This window comes from Homo sapiens, chromosome 3 (assembly GCF_000001405.40).
Source record: "Homo sapiens chromosome 3, GRCh38.p14 Primary Assembly".
Classification (NCBI taxonomy): domain Eukaryota; kingdom Metazoa; phylum Chordata; class Mammalia; order Primates; family Hominidae; genus Homo; species Homo sapiens.
In genome coordinates, this window is record NC_000003.12 from 133,553,554 (window position 1) to 133,568,798 (window position 15,245).

Genomic DNA, 15,245 nt, shown 5'->3' on the forward strand with positions numbered 1-15,245 from the left:
TGTGCTGTATTCAGGAAACCCATCTCACGTGCAGAGACATACATAGGCTCAAAATAAAAGGATGGAGGAAGATCTACCAAGCAAATGGAAAACAAAAAAAGGCAGGGGTTGCAATACTAGTCTCTGATAAAACAGACTTTAAATCAACAAAGATCAAAAGAGACAAAGAAGGCCATTACATAATGGTAAAGGGATCAATTCAACAAGAAGAGCTAACTATCCTAAATATATATGCACCCAACACAGGAGCACCCAGATTCATAAAGCAAGTCCTGAGTGACCTACAAAGAGACTTAGACTCCCACACAATAATAATGGGAGACTTTAACACCCCACTATCAACATTAGACAGATCAATGAGACAGAAAGTTAACAAGGATACCCAGGAATTGAACTCAGCTCTGCACCAAGTGGACCTAATAGACATCTACAGAACTCTCCATCCCAAATCAACAGAATATACATTTTTTTCAGCACCACACCACACCTATTCCAAAATTGACCACATACTTGGAAGTAAAGCTCTACTCAGCAAATGTAAAAGAACAGAAATTATAACAAACTGTCTCTCAGACCACAGTGCAATCAAACTAGAACTCAGGATTAAGAAACTCAGTCAAAACCACTCAACTACATGGAAACTGAACAACCTGCTCCTGAATGACTACTGGGTACATAATGAAATGAAGACAGAAATAAAGATGTTCTTTGAAACCAATGAGAACAAAGACACAACATACCAGAATCTCTGGGACACATTCAAAGCAGTGTGTAGAAGGAAATTGATAGCACCAAATGCCCACAAGAGAAAGCAGGAAAGATCCAAAATTGACACCCTAACATCACAATTAAAACAACTAGAAAAGCAAGAGCAAACACATTCAAAAGCTAGCAGAAGGCAAGAAATAACTAAAATCAGAGCAGAACTGAAGGAAATAGAGACAAAAAAACCCTCCAAAAAATTAATGAATCCAGGAGCTGGTTTTTTGAAAGGATCAACAAAATTGATAGACCGCTAGCAAGACTAATAAAGAAAAAAAGAGAGAAGAATCAAATAGACACAATAAAAAATGATAAAGGGGATATCACCACCGATCCCACAGAAATACAAACTACCATCAGAGAATACTACAAACACCTCTACGCAAATAAACTAGAAAATCTAGAAGAAATGGATACATTCCTCAACACATACACTCTCCCAAGACTAAACAAGGAAGAAGTTGAATCTCTGAATAGACCAATAATAGGCTCTGAAATTGTGGCAATAATCAATAGCTTACCAACCAAAAAGAGTCCAGGACCAGATGGATTCACAGCCAAATTCTACCAGAGGTACAAGGAGGAACTGGTACCATTCCTTCTGAAACTATTCCAATCAATAGAAAAAGAGGGAATCCTCCTCAGCTCATTTTATGAGGCCAGCATCATCCTGATACCAAAGCCGGGCAGAGACACAACCAAAAAAGAGAATTTTAGACCAATATCCTTGATGAACATTGATTCAAAAATCCTCAATAAAATACTGGCAAACCGAATCCAGCAGCACATCCAAAAGCTTATCCACCATGATCAAGTGGGCTTTATCCCTAGGATGCAAGGCTCGTTCAATATACGCAAATCAATAAATGTAATCCAGCATATAAACAGAACCAAAGACAAAAACCACATGATTATCTCAATAGATGCAGAAATGGCCTTTGACAAAATTCAACAACCCTTCATGCTAAAAACTCTCAATAAATTAGGTATTGATGGGACATATCTCAAAATAATAAGAGCTATCTATGACAAACCCACAGCCAATGTCATACTGAATGGGCAAAAACTGGAAGCATTCCCATTGAAAACTGGCACAAGACAGGGATGCCCTCTCTCACCACTCCTTTTCAACACAGTGTTGGAAGTTCTGGTCAGGGCAATTAGGCAGGAGAAGGAAATAAAGGGTATTCAATTAGGAAAAGAGGAAGTCAAATTGTTCCTGTTTGCAGATGACATGATTGTATATCTAGAAAACCCCATTGTCTCAGCCCAAAATCTCCTTAAGCTGATAAGCAACTTCAGCAAAGTCTCAGGATACAAAATCAATGTACAAAAATCACAAGCATTCTTATACACCAATAACAGACAAACAGAGAGCCAAATCCTGAGTGAACTCCCATTCACAATTGCTTCAAAGAGAATAAAATACTTAGGAATCCAACTTACAAGGGACGTGAAGGACCTCTTCAAGGAGAACTACAAAACACTGCTCAATGAAATAAAAGAGGATACAAACAAATGGAAGAACATTCCATGCTCATGGGTAGGAAGAATCAATATCGTGAAAATGGCCATACTGCCCAAGGTAATTTATAGATTCAATGCCATCCCCATCAAGCTACCAATGACTTTCTTCACAGAATTGGAAAAAACTACTTTAAAGTTCATATGGAACCAAAAAAGAGCCCGCATCGCCAAGGCAATCCTAAGCCAAAAGAACAAAGCTGGAGGCATCACGCTACCTGACTTCAAACTATACTACAAGGCTACAGTAACCAAAACAGCATGGTACTGGTACCAAAACAGAGATATAGATCAATGGAACAGAACAGAGCCCTCAGAAACAACGCCGCATATCTACAACTATCTGATCTTTGACAAACCTGAGAAAAACAAGCAATGGGGAAAGGATTCCCTATTTAATAAATGGTGCTGGGAAAACTGGCTAGCCATATGTAGAAAGCTGAAACTGGATCCCTTCCTTACACCTTATACAAAAATTAATTCAAGATGGATTAAAGACTTAAACCTTAGACCTAAAACCATAAAAACCCTAGAAGAAAACCTAGGCATTACCATTCAGGACATAGGCATGGGCAAGGACTTCATGTCTAAAACACCAAAAGCAATGGCAACAAAAGCCAAAATTGACAAATGGGATCTAATTAAACTAAAGAGCTTCTGCACAGCAAAAGAAACTACCATCAGAGTGAACAGGCAACCTACAGAATAGGAGAAAATTTTCGCAACCTATTCATCTGACAAAGGGCTAATATCCAGAATCTACAATGAACTCAAACAAATTTACAAGAAAAAAACAAACAACCCCATCAAAAAGTGGGCAAAGGATATGAACAGACACTTCTCGAAAGAAGACATTTATGCAGCCAAAAGACACATGAAAAAATGCTCATCATCACTGGCCATCAGAGAAATGCAAATCAAAACCACAATGAGATACCAACTCACACCAGTTAGAATGGCGATCATTAAAAAGTCAGGAAACAACAGGTGCTGGAGAGGATGTGGAGAAATAGGAACACTTTTACACTGTTGGTGGGACTGTAAACTAGTTCAACCATTGTGGAAGTCAGTGTGGCGATTCCTCAGGGATCTAGAACTAGAAATACCATTTGACCCAGCCATCCCATTACTAGGTATATACCCAAAGGACTATAAATCATGCTGCTATAAAGACGCATGCACATGTATGTTTATTGCGGCACTATTCACAATAGCAAAGACTTGGAACCAACCCAAATGTCCAACAATGATAGACTGGATTAAGAAAATGTGGCACATATACACCATGGAATACTATGCAGCCATAAAAAATGATGAGTTCATGTCCTTTGTAGGGACGTGGATGAAATTGGAAATCATCATTCTCAGCAAACTATCACAAGGACAAAAAACCAAACACCGCATGTTCTCACTCATAGATGGGAATTGAACAATGAGAACACATGGACACAGGAAGGGGAACATCACACTCTGGGGACTGTTGTGGGGTGGGGGGAGTGGGGAGGGATAGCATTAGGAGATATACCTAATGCTAAATGACAAGTTAATGGGTGCAGCACACCAGCATGGCACATGTACACATATGTAACTAACCTGCACATTGTGTACATGTACCCTAAAACTTAAAGTATAATAATAATAAAAAGAAAAGAAAAAAAGCCCAAAAAACTAGAGGTGAAGTTTATTTCTCTTCTTTTTGAACTTTGTATGGCAGACACACCTGACACCAATAACTTAACTTAAGCATATGCTGAGAATGACCCTATGGTCTAAGAAGAATGTGCATTTGGCGTTCCGAGCTAAGAAATCCGGGAGTGGCCAACCCACAGACTCACTCATTATCAATGAAGGACATTTGAATCCTTGGCCCATTCCTTGGAACACAGGCTATACAGGGGATGAACGCCCTTTGTTTTGGGTTAAAAGAAGGTTGCTAGGTGGAGGCTGCTAAATAAAAATGCTATGTGTAGGCTGGGCGCCATGGCTCACACCTGTAATCCCAGCACTTAGGGAGGCCGAGGCGGGCAGATCACCTGAGGTTAGGAGTTTGTGACCAGCCTGGCCAACATGGTGAAACCTCGTCTGTACTAAAAATACAAAAATAGCTGAGCGTGGTGGTGCGCACCAGTAATCCCATCTACTCGAGAGACTGAGGCAGGAAAATCACTTGAACCCGGGAGGCAGAGGTTGCAGTAAGCCAAGATCATGCCACTGCACTCCAGCCTGGGCAACAGAGTGAGACTCCATCTCAAAAATAAATGTGCTCTGTGTGTGTGTATATATATATTTTTTTAATTAAAAAAAAAATAGAGCAAGCTATCTACCTGCCTTGGCCTCCAAAGGTGCTAGGATTACAGCCACCGTGCCCAAATGCTATATAAACTGCATGCTTTTTACAAACGGTAGTTGTTTTCCCATCCAGCCTGCCACCACTGGAGCATCGCTGTATTTAAGTTCACCCAATACATCCTGTGTCTTGTTTGCTTTCCTTCGGCCTCTCGGACATGATACCATCCCTATTGGAGTTAATAGGGGTCTGGCAAGACAAACTGGGGCTGGTCTCATGGCATGTTATGCCAATGGAATGCAGTCTAAGTAACACTGTGCCAGTTCCAGGCCTGGGCCATAAGAGGTCTCACAGCTTTCACTCTTGCCCTCTTAGGATCCAGTTGTCTTGTAAGAAAGCTCAGGTCTGACTACTAAATGATGAGAGACCACATAGAGAGGAAGGTAACTAGCCATCCCTCAGCTGTTTCAGACACCCCAGTTAAGTCACTAGACAAGTTAGGAAACCTATCTTGGTCATTCTCACCCTAGACAGGCTCCCACTTGAATGTCATCACATAAATGACCCCAGACAACACTGCAGGGAGCAGAACCACCCAGTTGAGTCCTATGCCATCTCTGCCTCCCATGTAACACTTGGCATGTGGCTGGGCAAACTCAACTCATCCTTCAGGAGCTGACTGCAGTATGCCTGCTGTGCCAGACCCCACTGACTGAGCAGGCCCAACAATGCACCTCAACCTTGACCGCGTGTTAGAATCACCCGGGGAGCTTCCCAAAACGCCCATGGTGGTCCAACCCCCAGAGATTTAGCTTCCTTGTCTGAGGCAAGGCAGAGATATTGAGACGAGTGAAGGGTGGAAGGGTTGGGCAATAGTACATGATGAAAAGAAGAAACTGACTCTGCAGTCACAGCAGGCCTAGGTTCAAATCTTGACCCTTCCTCTAACTAGATGTATATCCTCTCTGATCCTCAGCTTTCTCATCTGTGAAAAGGGTAACTATCATCTCCCCTTCCAGTGAGCTAAGGGGAGTCAGCTGCCATAGAACAAAGTGATTAAAAGTAAAGAACTTGGAGGCAGAGAGAATGGGGTTAAAATCACAGCTTAAGCACTACAAAACTATGAGAAATAAGGGTATGCTACGAACAACTGCAACCCAAAAATTTGGCAGCTTAAATGAAATGGATCAATTATTTGAAAGACACAAACTACCAAAATTCACTCAAGAAGAAATAGATAACCTGAATAGTCCTATATGTATCCAGTTGAATTTGTAGTTTAAAATTCCAGGCCCTGGTGGTGTCTCTAATGAATTCAACCCAAACTGTGGGAGACTCTAAACTACTTATGTATTTAAAATCTCAAAAGATAGAGATAATAAAACTTATCCTTGGCTGGGTGTGATGGCTCATGCCTGTAATCCCAGCACTTTGGGAGGTCAAGGTGGGCAGATCACCTGAGGTTAGGAGTTTGAGACCAGCCTGGCCAACATAGTGAAACCCTGACTCTACTGAAAATACAAAAATTAGCTGGGCATGGTGGTGCATGCCTGTAATCCCAGCTACTCGGGAGCCGGAGGCAGGAGAATCACTTGAACCCAGGAGGCGGAGGTTGCAGTGAGCCGAGATCGCGCCATTGCACTCCAGCCTGGACAACAAGAGTGAAACTCTGTCTCAATAAATAAATAAATAAAAATAAAACTTATCCCTGCATGAGCCAGGCACAGGGCTGGACTCTTGTCCTGCTCCGCCTCTAACTGGTGAGCAACTGTGGGTAAATCCCTTCACTTCTCAGTGCTGTAAGATTTTTAGCAGGAAAATGTTAAGATTCTAAAAATGCTCTGCTGTACATCATTCACTGGGGAAGAAATGTGTCTGCTTGATGCTTGAAGGGGAAGTGGGCTGACTCCTGGACAGCAGGATTCTGCCTGGGGCCACAGCCAATCACTAGGTGCCCTTCCACCAGAGGACACTAGCAGAGGGGTCCCATCTAGGCAAGAGAAAGACTTGACAAATGGTTTGCCCCTATAGTCAATGATAAATTTTCAGAAAGGGAAGACATGCTTTTAAAAACAGTTTACAAGGCCAGGTGCGGTGGCTCATGCCTGTAATCCCAGCACTTTGGGAGGCCGAGGTGGGCAGATTACTTGAGCTCAGGAGTTTGAGACCAGCCTGGCCAACATGGTGAAACTCTGTCTCTACTAAAAATACAAAAACAAGCCCAGTGTGGTGGCAGCTGCCTGTAGTCCCAACTACTCTGGAGGCTGAAGCAGGAGATTTGCTTGAACCTGGGAGGTGAAGGTTACAGTGAGCCTAGATCACACCACTGCACTCCAGCTTGGGTGACAGAGCAAGACTCCAACTCAAAAATAAAAGAAAAACACTTTACATATATTATCATTTTTTTTTTCAAGACAGAGTCTTGCTCTGTCACCCAGGCTAGAGTGCAGTGGTGTGATCTCGGCTGGCTGCAACCTCTGCCTCCCCAGTTCAAGCGATTCTCCCCACCTCAGCCTCTTGAGTAGCTGGGACTACAGGCACGCACCACCAAGCCCAACTAATTTTTGTATTTTTAGTAGAGACAGGGTTTCACCATATTGGTCAGGATGGTCTCAAACTCCTGACCTCAGGCGATCCACCCGCCTCAGCCTCCCAAAGTGCTGGGATTGTATAATAGATGTGAGCCACCCCACCCAGCTGTATTATCTTTTCATTTTGTTTCATTTTATTGTTTTGAGGAGTCTCACTCTGTCGCCTAGGCTGGAATGCAGTGGCGCAATCTCGGCTCACTGCAACCTCTGCCTCTCAGGTTCAAGCGATTCCTGCCTCAGCCTCCCAAGTAACTGGGATTACAGGCACACAACACCACACCTGGATAATTTTGTATTTTTAATAGAGGTGGGGTTTCACCATGTTGGCCAGGCTGGTCTCGAACCCTTGACCTTAAGTGATCCACCCACCTTGGCCTCCCAAAGTGCTGGGATTATATGCATGTGCCACCGTGCTTGGCCTATGATCTTTTAAATGATCAAACCAATCATGAAATGCAAACAAAATTATTATCCCCGTTTTAGAGATAAGGAAATTGCAGCTCAGAAAATTTAAGTGCCTGCCTGGCATAAGAACACCAGCTCTGTCTGACTCCAAGAAACCACCACACCCCATAAATCAATGGCCAGGTATCTTCCCAGGGAAACATTTTGATATTTAACTTTAAAACAAATGTTAATATTAATATTATATCTTTCAGACAGTTGCTGAAGTAGGTTAAAAATGGCTCTGAATTCTGCAACATTCCTCCCATGGAGATGTGGGGTCTCTGTACTCTCTCCTTGAATCTGGGCAGGCTCTGTAACCACTTGAACAATAGAACACGGTAGAAGTAAGCCCAGGTGCGGTGGCTCATGCTTGTAATCCTAGCACTTTGGGAGGCTGTGGTGGGTGGATTACTTGAGGTTAGGGGTTCAAGACCAGCCTAGCCAACATAGTGAAACCCTGTCTCTACTAAAAATACAAAAATTATTTGAATGTGGTGGCACACACCTGTAGTCCCAGCTTCTTGGGAGGCTGAGGCAGGAGAATCCCTTGAACCCACGAGGCAGAGGTTGCAGTGAGCCAAGATCGCAGGGCTGCACTCCACACTCCAGCCTGGGTGACAGAGGGAGACTCTGTCAAAAAAAAAAAAAAAAAAAAAAAAAAGAACACAGCAGAAGTGATTCTGTGCCACTCTCCAGGCCCAGGTCTTAAGAGTCTGGCAGCTTCCCCTTCCTGTCCTTCAGACACTCACTCTAGAAGTCCTGAGCCACCATGTAAAAATGCATTTACACTGAGACCTCCATACTGCAGAGGCCACAGGTAGGACTGAAGAGCAAAAAATAAAAATTAAAAATTAAAGAGTTTCAAATGAGCCCAGTACCAGCCCTATGAATAAGGAAGGTATCTTGACCCTCCACACCAGTTCAGTCATCAGATAGACTATTGAGTGGCTTTAGTGAATGCCACAAAGAGCAGAAGAATTCCATGGCTGAGACTTGCCTAAATTTCTGATTTTAAAACTGAAATATAATGAAGTAGTTGTTTTAAGCCACTAACTTTCAGGCCAGTTTGTTACATAGCAATAGATAACTGAAACAGCTGGGAAAATAAAAGAGACCTGCCTGCTTCCACCTTTCAAAGCACTGGGATTACAGGCGTGAGCTACTGTGCCCAGCCTCATGAATTACCTTATCCAATACTGAAAACAATCAAGCTTGTGTTTTACCCATATTTTACTTTTTCTTTCTTTCTCTTTTTTCAGAGGCAGGTCTCACTCTGTGACCCAGGCTGGAGTGCAGTGTCACAATATTAGCTCACTGCAACCTCTTACTTCAGGGCTTATGTGACCCTCCCATCCCAACCCACTGCCTCAGCCTGCAGAGTAGCTGGGACTACAGGCATGAGCCACCATGCCTGGCTAATTCCTGGCCTGAAGCGATCCTCCTTCCTTGGCTGCCCAAAGCATTGGGATTACAGCAATGTGCCACCACTCCTGGCCCACATTTTAAAAGCAAAGATTCAATGATGGTAGTAAGGAGCTTAAAACAAAAGGGAAAACAAAAATAAAAAAGAAGAAAACTAAAGCCCAGAGAAGTTAATGAGCTTGCAGATGATCACACAGCTTGTAAGTGGGGGAAATGGAAACTGAACTCCCAGTCCGGTCTATCCAGCTAGAAAATCCATGTTCTTGTCACCATCTCACATAGCTGCACCACCTTTCTGGGTTCTGATGGTGTTCTTTTTTTTTTTTTTTTTTTTTTTTTGAGACGGAGTCTCGCTCTGTCGCCCAGGCTGGAGTGCAGTGGTGCGATCTCAGCTCACTGCAAGCTCCGCCTCCTGGGTTCACGCCATTCTCCTACCTCAGCCTCCCGAGTAGCTGGGACTACAGGTGCCCGCCACCACGCCCAGCTAATTTTTTGTATTTTTAGTAGAGACGGGGTTTCACCGTGTTAGCCAGGATGGTCTCGATCTCCTGACCTCGTGATCCGCCTGCCTCAGCCTCCCAAAGTGCTGGGATTACAGGCACGAGCCACCGCGCCCGGCACTGATGGTGTTCTACATTCCCCTTAGTATGACATCATGTGTGGTTTTTCATGTGGCTGCAAAGACTCCAAAATCCTCCTTTAATTTATTTATGTTTACCTTTTTTTTTCTTTTTTTTTTTGAGAAGGAGTCTCATTCTATGGCCCAGGCTAGAGTGCAGTGGTGCAATCTCAGCTCACTGCAACCTCCACCTCCTGGACAACACTTCTTTTAAATGGCCACATATTGTTCCAACTATAGTTTACATGCCATCCCCTTTTTGAGTCTTTACATTCCTTCCAAATGTTTTTGTCATTAAAAGGAATTCAGAAATGAACAAGCTGCATCACGTGGACATAAAGCAGAAATTCTAGAGGGAGGACTGTATTATGTATTGAACCTGCTTCCAAATATAACTCAATGAAGAATAGCTCAATTTGTAAGTTCTCAGTAAAATGACAAAGTCAATTAAAGATGCTCAGTGATGGTAAGCCTCTCCCTGCCCTGTAACCCCACTTCCATGGCAAAGCAGCCCAGATCCAAACCTACCCCTGCCCCACCCTGCCATGTTGCAGCAAAGCTGCAATTGTTGGGAGACTGAACCTCTCTTGGGGTTCCTTTGGTATTATCGGCAATTTCATTTACACAACTCCTCCCCATTTTCTGCTTCTTCTCTGTGCTGACTGCCTTAATGAACCTGGTTACCCAGTCACCTAAGAAGGGTGTCCTGGCCTTGCTGTGTCCCAATGTGCAGCAAGGAAGGTAGAGAAAAATGATCCCCTTGGAATTCACATGCCATTCAGGCCAGATAAATTAATCACCATTTAACAACTTAGTGCAGACCTCATCAATCTTAAATAGCTTGGACAGCTGCAAAAATTAAGATTGTCTCAGGATGCTTGTTGGCTTTGAAAAGATTATAAATCCTCTTATCTCAAAAGGGCCAGGTGAAGAATTTGTAAATCCTGTTAAGAATTTTAGTTTTTATCCTGAGGGCAGTGGGTAGCCGTTGAATGGTTTTAAACAGAGGAGTGATGGCCTGATCAGATTTTTTGGTATAGAAAGAACACCTTGGTTGGAGGGCAGTTGTAGGATTAGGTGATCAAAGGGATGGATGGTAGAGAAAAGGGAGGATTCCATCATGCCCACAGGATCTTGCCCAGAACAGCTGGGTGGGTAGGATGAGGAGCAGAAGGGGAGGGAATGACAGGAGAGTGGTTCCCTCTTGGACCATGTGAGTAGGGTACTTGAGGGTAGAGCCCAGGGCTGTGATTAGGGCAGACAAGCAAGCTGACTTCCAGATGCTCATCACCCAGGGCTCTCTCGCTGGCTGGCCACTTGGTCACATGGACCCAGGTCCAGGAGGGAGGGCCCCATAAGCCAGCCTAGCCCAGGGAACTGAGCATTCTCAGAGACCACAGCTGGCCCAGCAGGAGAACTGGGGACATTGGGAAAGATCCTGAGGCTACGAAGGCTGCTAAATCCATGAGACTGTGAACCTCTTCCTTCCTATATAGGGAGCAGTGGACTACCCCATCTTTAGGGGCTGTTGGAAGCTATCAAGTCACTGGAGCTTTTCAATTCAAGGATTCTTGCTTATTTTATACTTAGGGGTAAGCACTATCCCATAGCCCCAGGATGAAAATTCCCCAGTTCCTCCCCTCCCAAAGATCTACAGCCAGTAGGAGACAGGAGCCAAGGTGACACACAATGGCATAGGCTGGGACCAGTGCTTTAAGAGAGGGAAAAGACCATGGCAAACCTGGAGGAGGCAGAGTTTAACCCAAATGGTGGGCATCTGGGAAGGTGTAGAAGGTGATAGGTTTTCCTCTGGGCCCTAAAGAAAGGTTGACTTCCACAGATGGATAGGAGGGGGCAGGACATTCTTGCAAAAGATAATAGCTTGTGCAAACATCCAAAGTTGAAAAAATACAGGACGTGCTGGAGCAGAGGGAGCTTTGCAGAGGCATGATACTTTTTAGATGGAAGGATACACAATTGTTCATACTGCCCAGATTCCCCAGATTGTGAGAATCTGGGACAATGACCTAGCTTTGGCCCTGAATTCAACATTATCATCAGTGGCTGAGATAGAAATTTCCTGGGGACGTCACCTAGGGAAATGCTAGGAAGCTCAGTCCCTGACTTGCCCTGTCCCCAACCCCAAAAAACAACTTCCCAGATCATTAAGACATACATGTTTTGTACCAGCTTCATACTTCCATACATCTTACTTTCCTAAATATATGTTTCTTTTTTTCTTTTTCTTTTTCTTTTTGAGACGGAGTCTTGCTCTGTTGCCTAGGCTGGAGTGCAATGATGTGATCTCGGCTCACTGCAACTTCTGCCTCCTGGGTTCAAGCGATTCTTCTGCCTCAGCCTCCCAAGTAGCTGGGATTCCAGGTGCCCGCCGCCACGCTCGGCTAATTTTTTTCGTATTTTTAGTAGAGACGGGGTTTCATCATATTGGCCAGGCTGGTCTTGAACTCCTGACCTTGTGATCCACCTCCCTCGGCCTCCCAAAGTGCTGGGATTACAGGTGTGAGCCACCGCACGTGGCCCTAAATATACGTTTCTATTGCTTTCTTTCTACTTAAGCCTTTAGAGGAGGAGGTAAGGTATGTAAAAATAACCCCACAAAACACAAAATATATCATATTATCTTTCCTTTTTTTGAGACAGTCTCACTCTGTTGCCCAGGCTGGAGTGCAGTGGCATGATCTCAGCTCACTGCAACCTTTGTCTCCCAGATTCAAGCGATTCTCCTGCCTCAGCCTCCCAAGCAGCTGAGATTACAGGCATGTGCCACTACACCCGGCTAATTTTGTATTTTTAGTAGAGATGGGCTTTCACCCTGTTGGCCAGGCTGGTCTTGAACTCCTGACCTCAGGTAATCTACCCACCTCGACCTCCCAAAGTGCTGGGATTATTGGTGTGAGCCACCATGCCCAGCATCGAATTATCTTTCAAAACAAATCCAGGCCAGTTGAGGTGGCTCATGCCTGTAATCCCAGCACTTTGGGCTGGCGTGCAGTGGCTATTCACAGATGTGATTGTAGTGTACTATAGCCTCGAACTCTTGGCCTCAGCAATCCTCCCTCCTCAGACTCCCAAGTAGCTGGGACTACAGGTTCATGCCTCCTTGCCAGGCCAAATTCACAATTGTTTACAAATACATGACATGCACTTTGTTCCTCCAGGGCCTCTTGGCCCACAGATGCCCACGAGGACAAGATTTGCCAGCAACAAGGGAAAAAGCCCCAGAGAGCTTCATAAAATTTTCAATTTCTATCTTCTGGCCATCCTCAGGTTGGGCTTCCCATTGCATGGAGAGGCCTGCCTGAGGCCAGGAAGGGGTTGGGGGAGCAGATCCCAGAATCACATGGTCTAGGATTAAATCCACGAAGTGGGTTGGGTCACAGCCATCAAATTATTCCATAGGAGAATAATCAGTGATTATCTGAGGCTACTTTTGCCCCCACCCTCAGTCCAGTTCTATTTGGTCTGAGAGGGAGAGTGACTCCTCAGCTCCCAAAAAGACTGAGTGAGAAAGCAGGTAGCAGTAAGGTACTCAGGAATGAGCCAGTGTCACTAACCAGACAGGAAACTTGGGAGTGGTCATTTTGCTTCAGTGATTTTTTTTTTTTTTTTTTTTTGAGATGGAGTCTCGCTCTGTCACCCAGGCTGGAGTGCAATGGCGTCATCTTGGCTCACTGCAACCTCCACCTCTGGGGTTCAAGCGATTCTTCTGCCTCAGCCTCCCGAATAGCTGTGATTACAGGTGCCTGCCACCATGCCTGGCCAAATTTTTTTTCTTTTGTATTTTTAGTAGATATGGGGTTTCACCATGTTAGTCAGGCTGGTCTCGAACTCCTGACCTCGTGATCCTCCTGCCTCGGCCTCCCAAAGGGCTGGGATTACAGACGTGAGCCACTGCACCCAGCCTATTTCAGTCATTTTGAGGTCACGGATGGTTTAGCATGAGGAACAGAAACTATATATAATCAGAACACTTGAGAGAAAAGCCCCAAATACCAAGCTATTTCATATCTAGAAACTGCAAATGTATGGCCAAGCGCAGTGGCTCACGCCTGCAATCCCAGTACTTTGGGAGGCTGAGGTGGGTGTATCACTTAAGGCCAGGAGTTCAAAACCTGGCCAAAATGGTGAAACCCCATCTCTACCAAAAATACAAAAATTAGCCAGGCGTGGTGGTGTTAGCCTGTAATCCCAGCTACTCGGAAGGCTGAGGCAGGAGGATCGCTCGAACCTGGGAGGCGAAGGTTGTAGTGAGCCAAGATTGCGCCAGTGCACTCCAGCCTGGGTGACAGAGTGAGACACTGTCTCAAAAAAAAACTAAAAATAAAAAAAGAACACACTGAGGACACAGTAATGAATGAGTGGCAGAGTTAGGGAGGACAGATAAGAGAATAATCCGGCTGGGTGAGGTGGCTCACACCTGTAATCCCAGCACTTTGGGAGGCCGAGGCGGGCAGATCACAAGGTCAGGAGATCGAAATCACTGACGAACATGGTGAAACGCTATCTCTGCTAAAAATACAAAAAATTAGCTGGGCGTGGTGGCGCGTGCCTGTAGTCCCAGCTTCTTGGGAGGCTGAGGCGGGAGGATCGCTCAAACCCAGGAGGCAGAGGTTGCAGTGAACCGAGATCGCGTCACTGCACTGCAGCCTGGTGACAGAGCAAGACTCTGTAAAAAAAAATAATAATAAATAACCACAGACCCCCCACCGTGTAATTATAAATCAAGATACATGCCATCATCATCATCACCATCATCATCCCTCACACTAATTGTAACATTAATTGGTTTTTCTATTTGCCAAGCACTAGAGCTGAGTGGTCTTAAATTCATGTCCACATTTCATCCTCACAACTCCAGGAGGCAGTTGTGCTTATCATCCATACTTTACAGGTGAAAAAACCTGTGATGCAGAGAAGTTAAGTGACTTGCTAGGAGGAGGCAGAGCTGGTACTCGAACCTAGATTTGACTCTAGAAAGCATGCGCTTGACCACCAAGTAAAAAGCAAGGTCCCCGAGAGAAAGTATAGGATTTGCCTTCCACCCAGCACGCAGAAGGTTTCCCTGCACTCCCTGCACTCTGACCCTCTCTCTGCTTTTTGTCAGCCTAAAGAGGATGACAATACCATTGACCTAGTGACCTAGTAACCAGGAATACGGAGGCTCTGAGTCAGAAGCAGAAAATGCCAGACAATCTCACATGTAGCTGTTGGATCATGAAGTAAGATCAAGAATGGAGCTAGGGTCAGGAACAGAATAATCGTGTCTTGCCCACGTAATTATACCCCTTGCACTCTGTGATCAAAACGATTGAGTCAGAATGTCTTGCTTTGTGCCAGAGTCGTTTGACTGGCTCCCAAAGTGGCCACCCAGAGTAGCTTTTCCTTGGCGAATTTGCCACAGAGCTGAACCTGGGTCATAGTCATATCAGTGTCCTGTCAGGGTTCATCTCCCTGAAAAAGCCTGACTCCCAGCAATCCAACTCATAAGAGGCCAAACTATATAACCACATACATACCAATGTATTCATTAACAGTGTTAGTCTTTCAGTAACTGGAATGTTCCTCTCCCAAC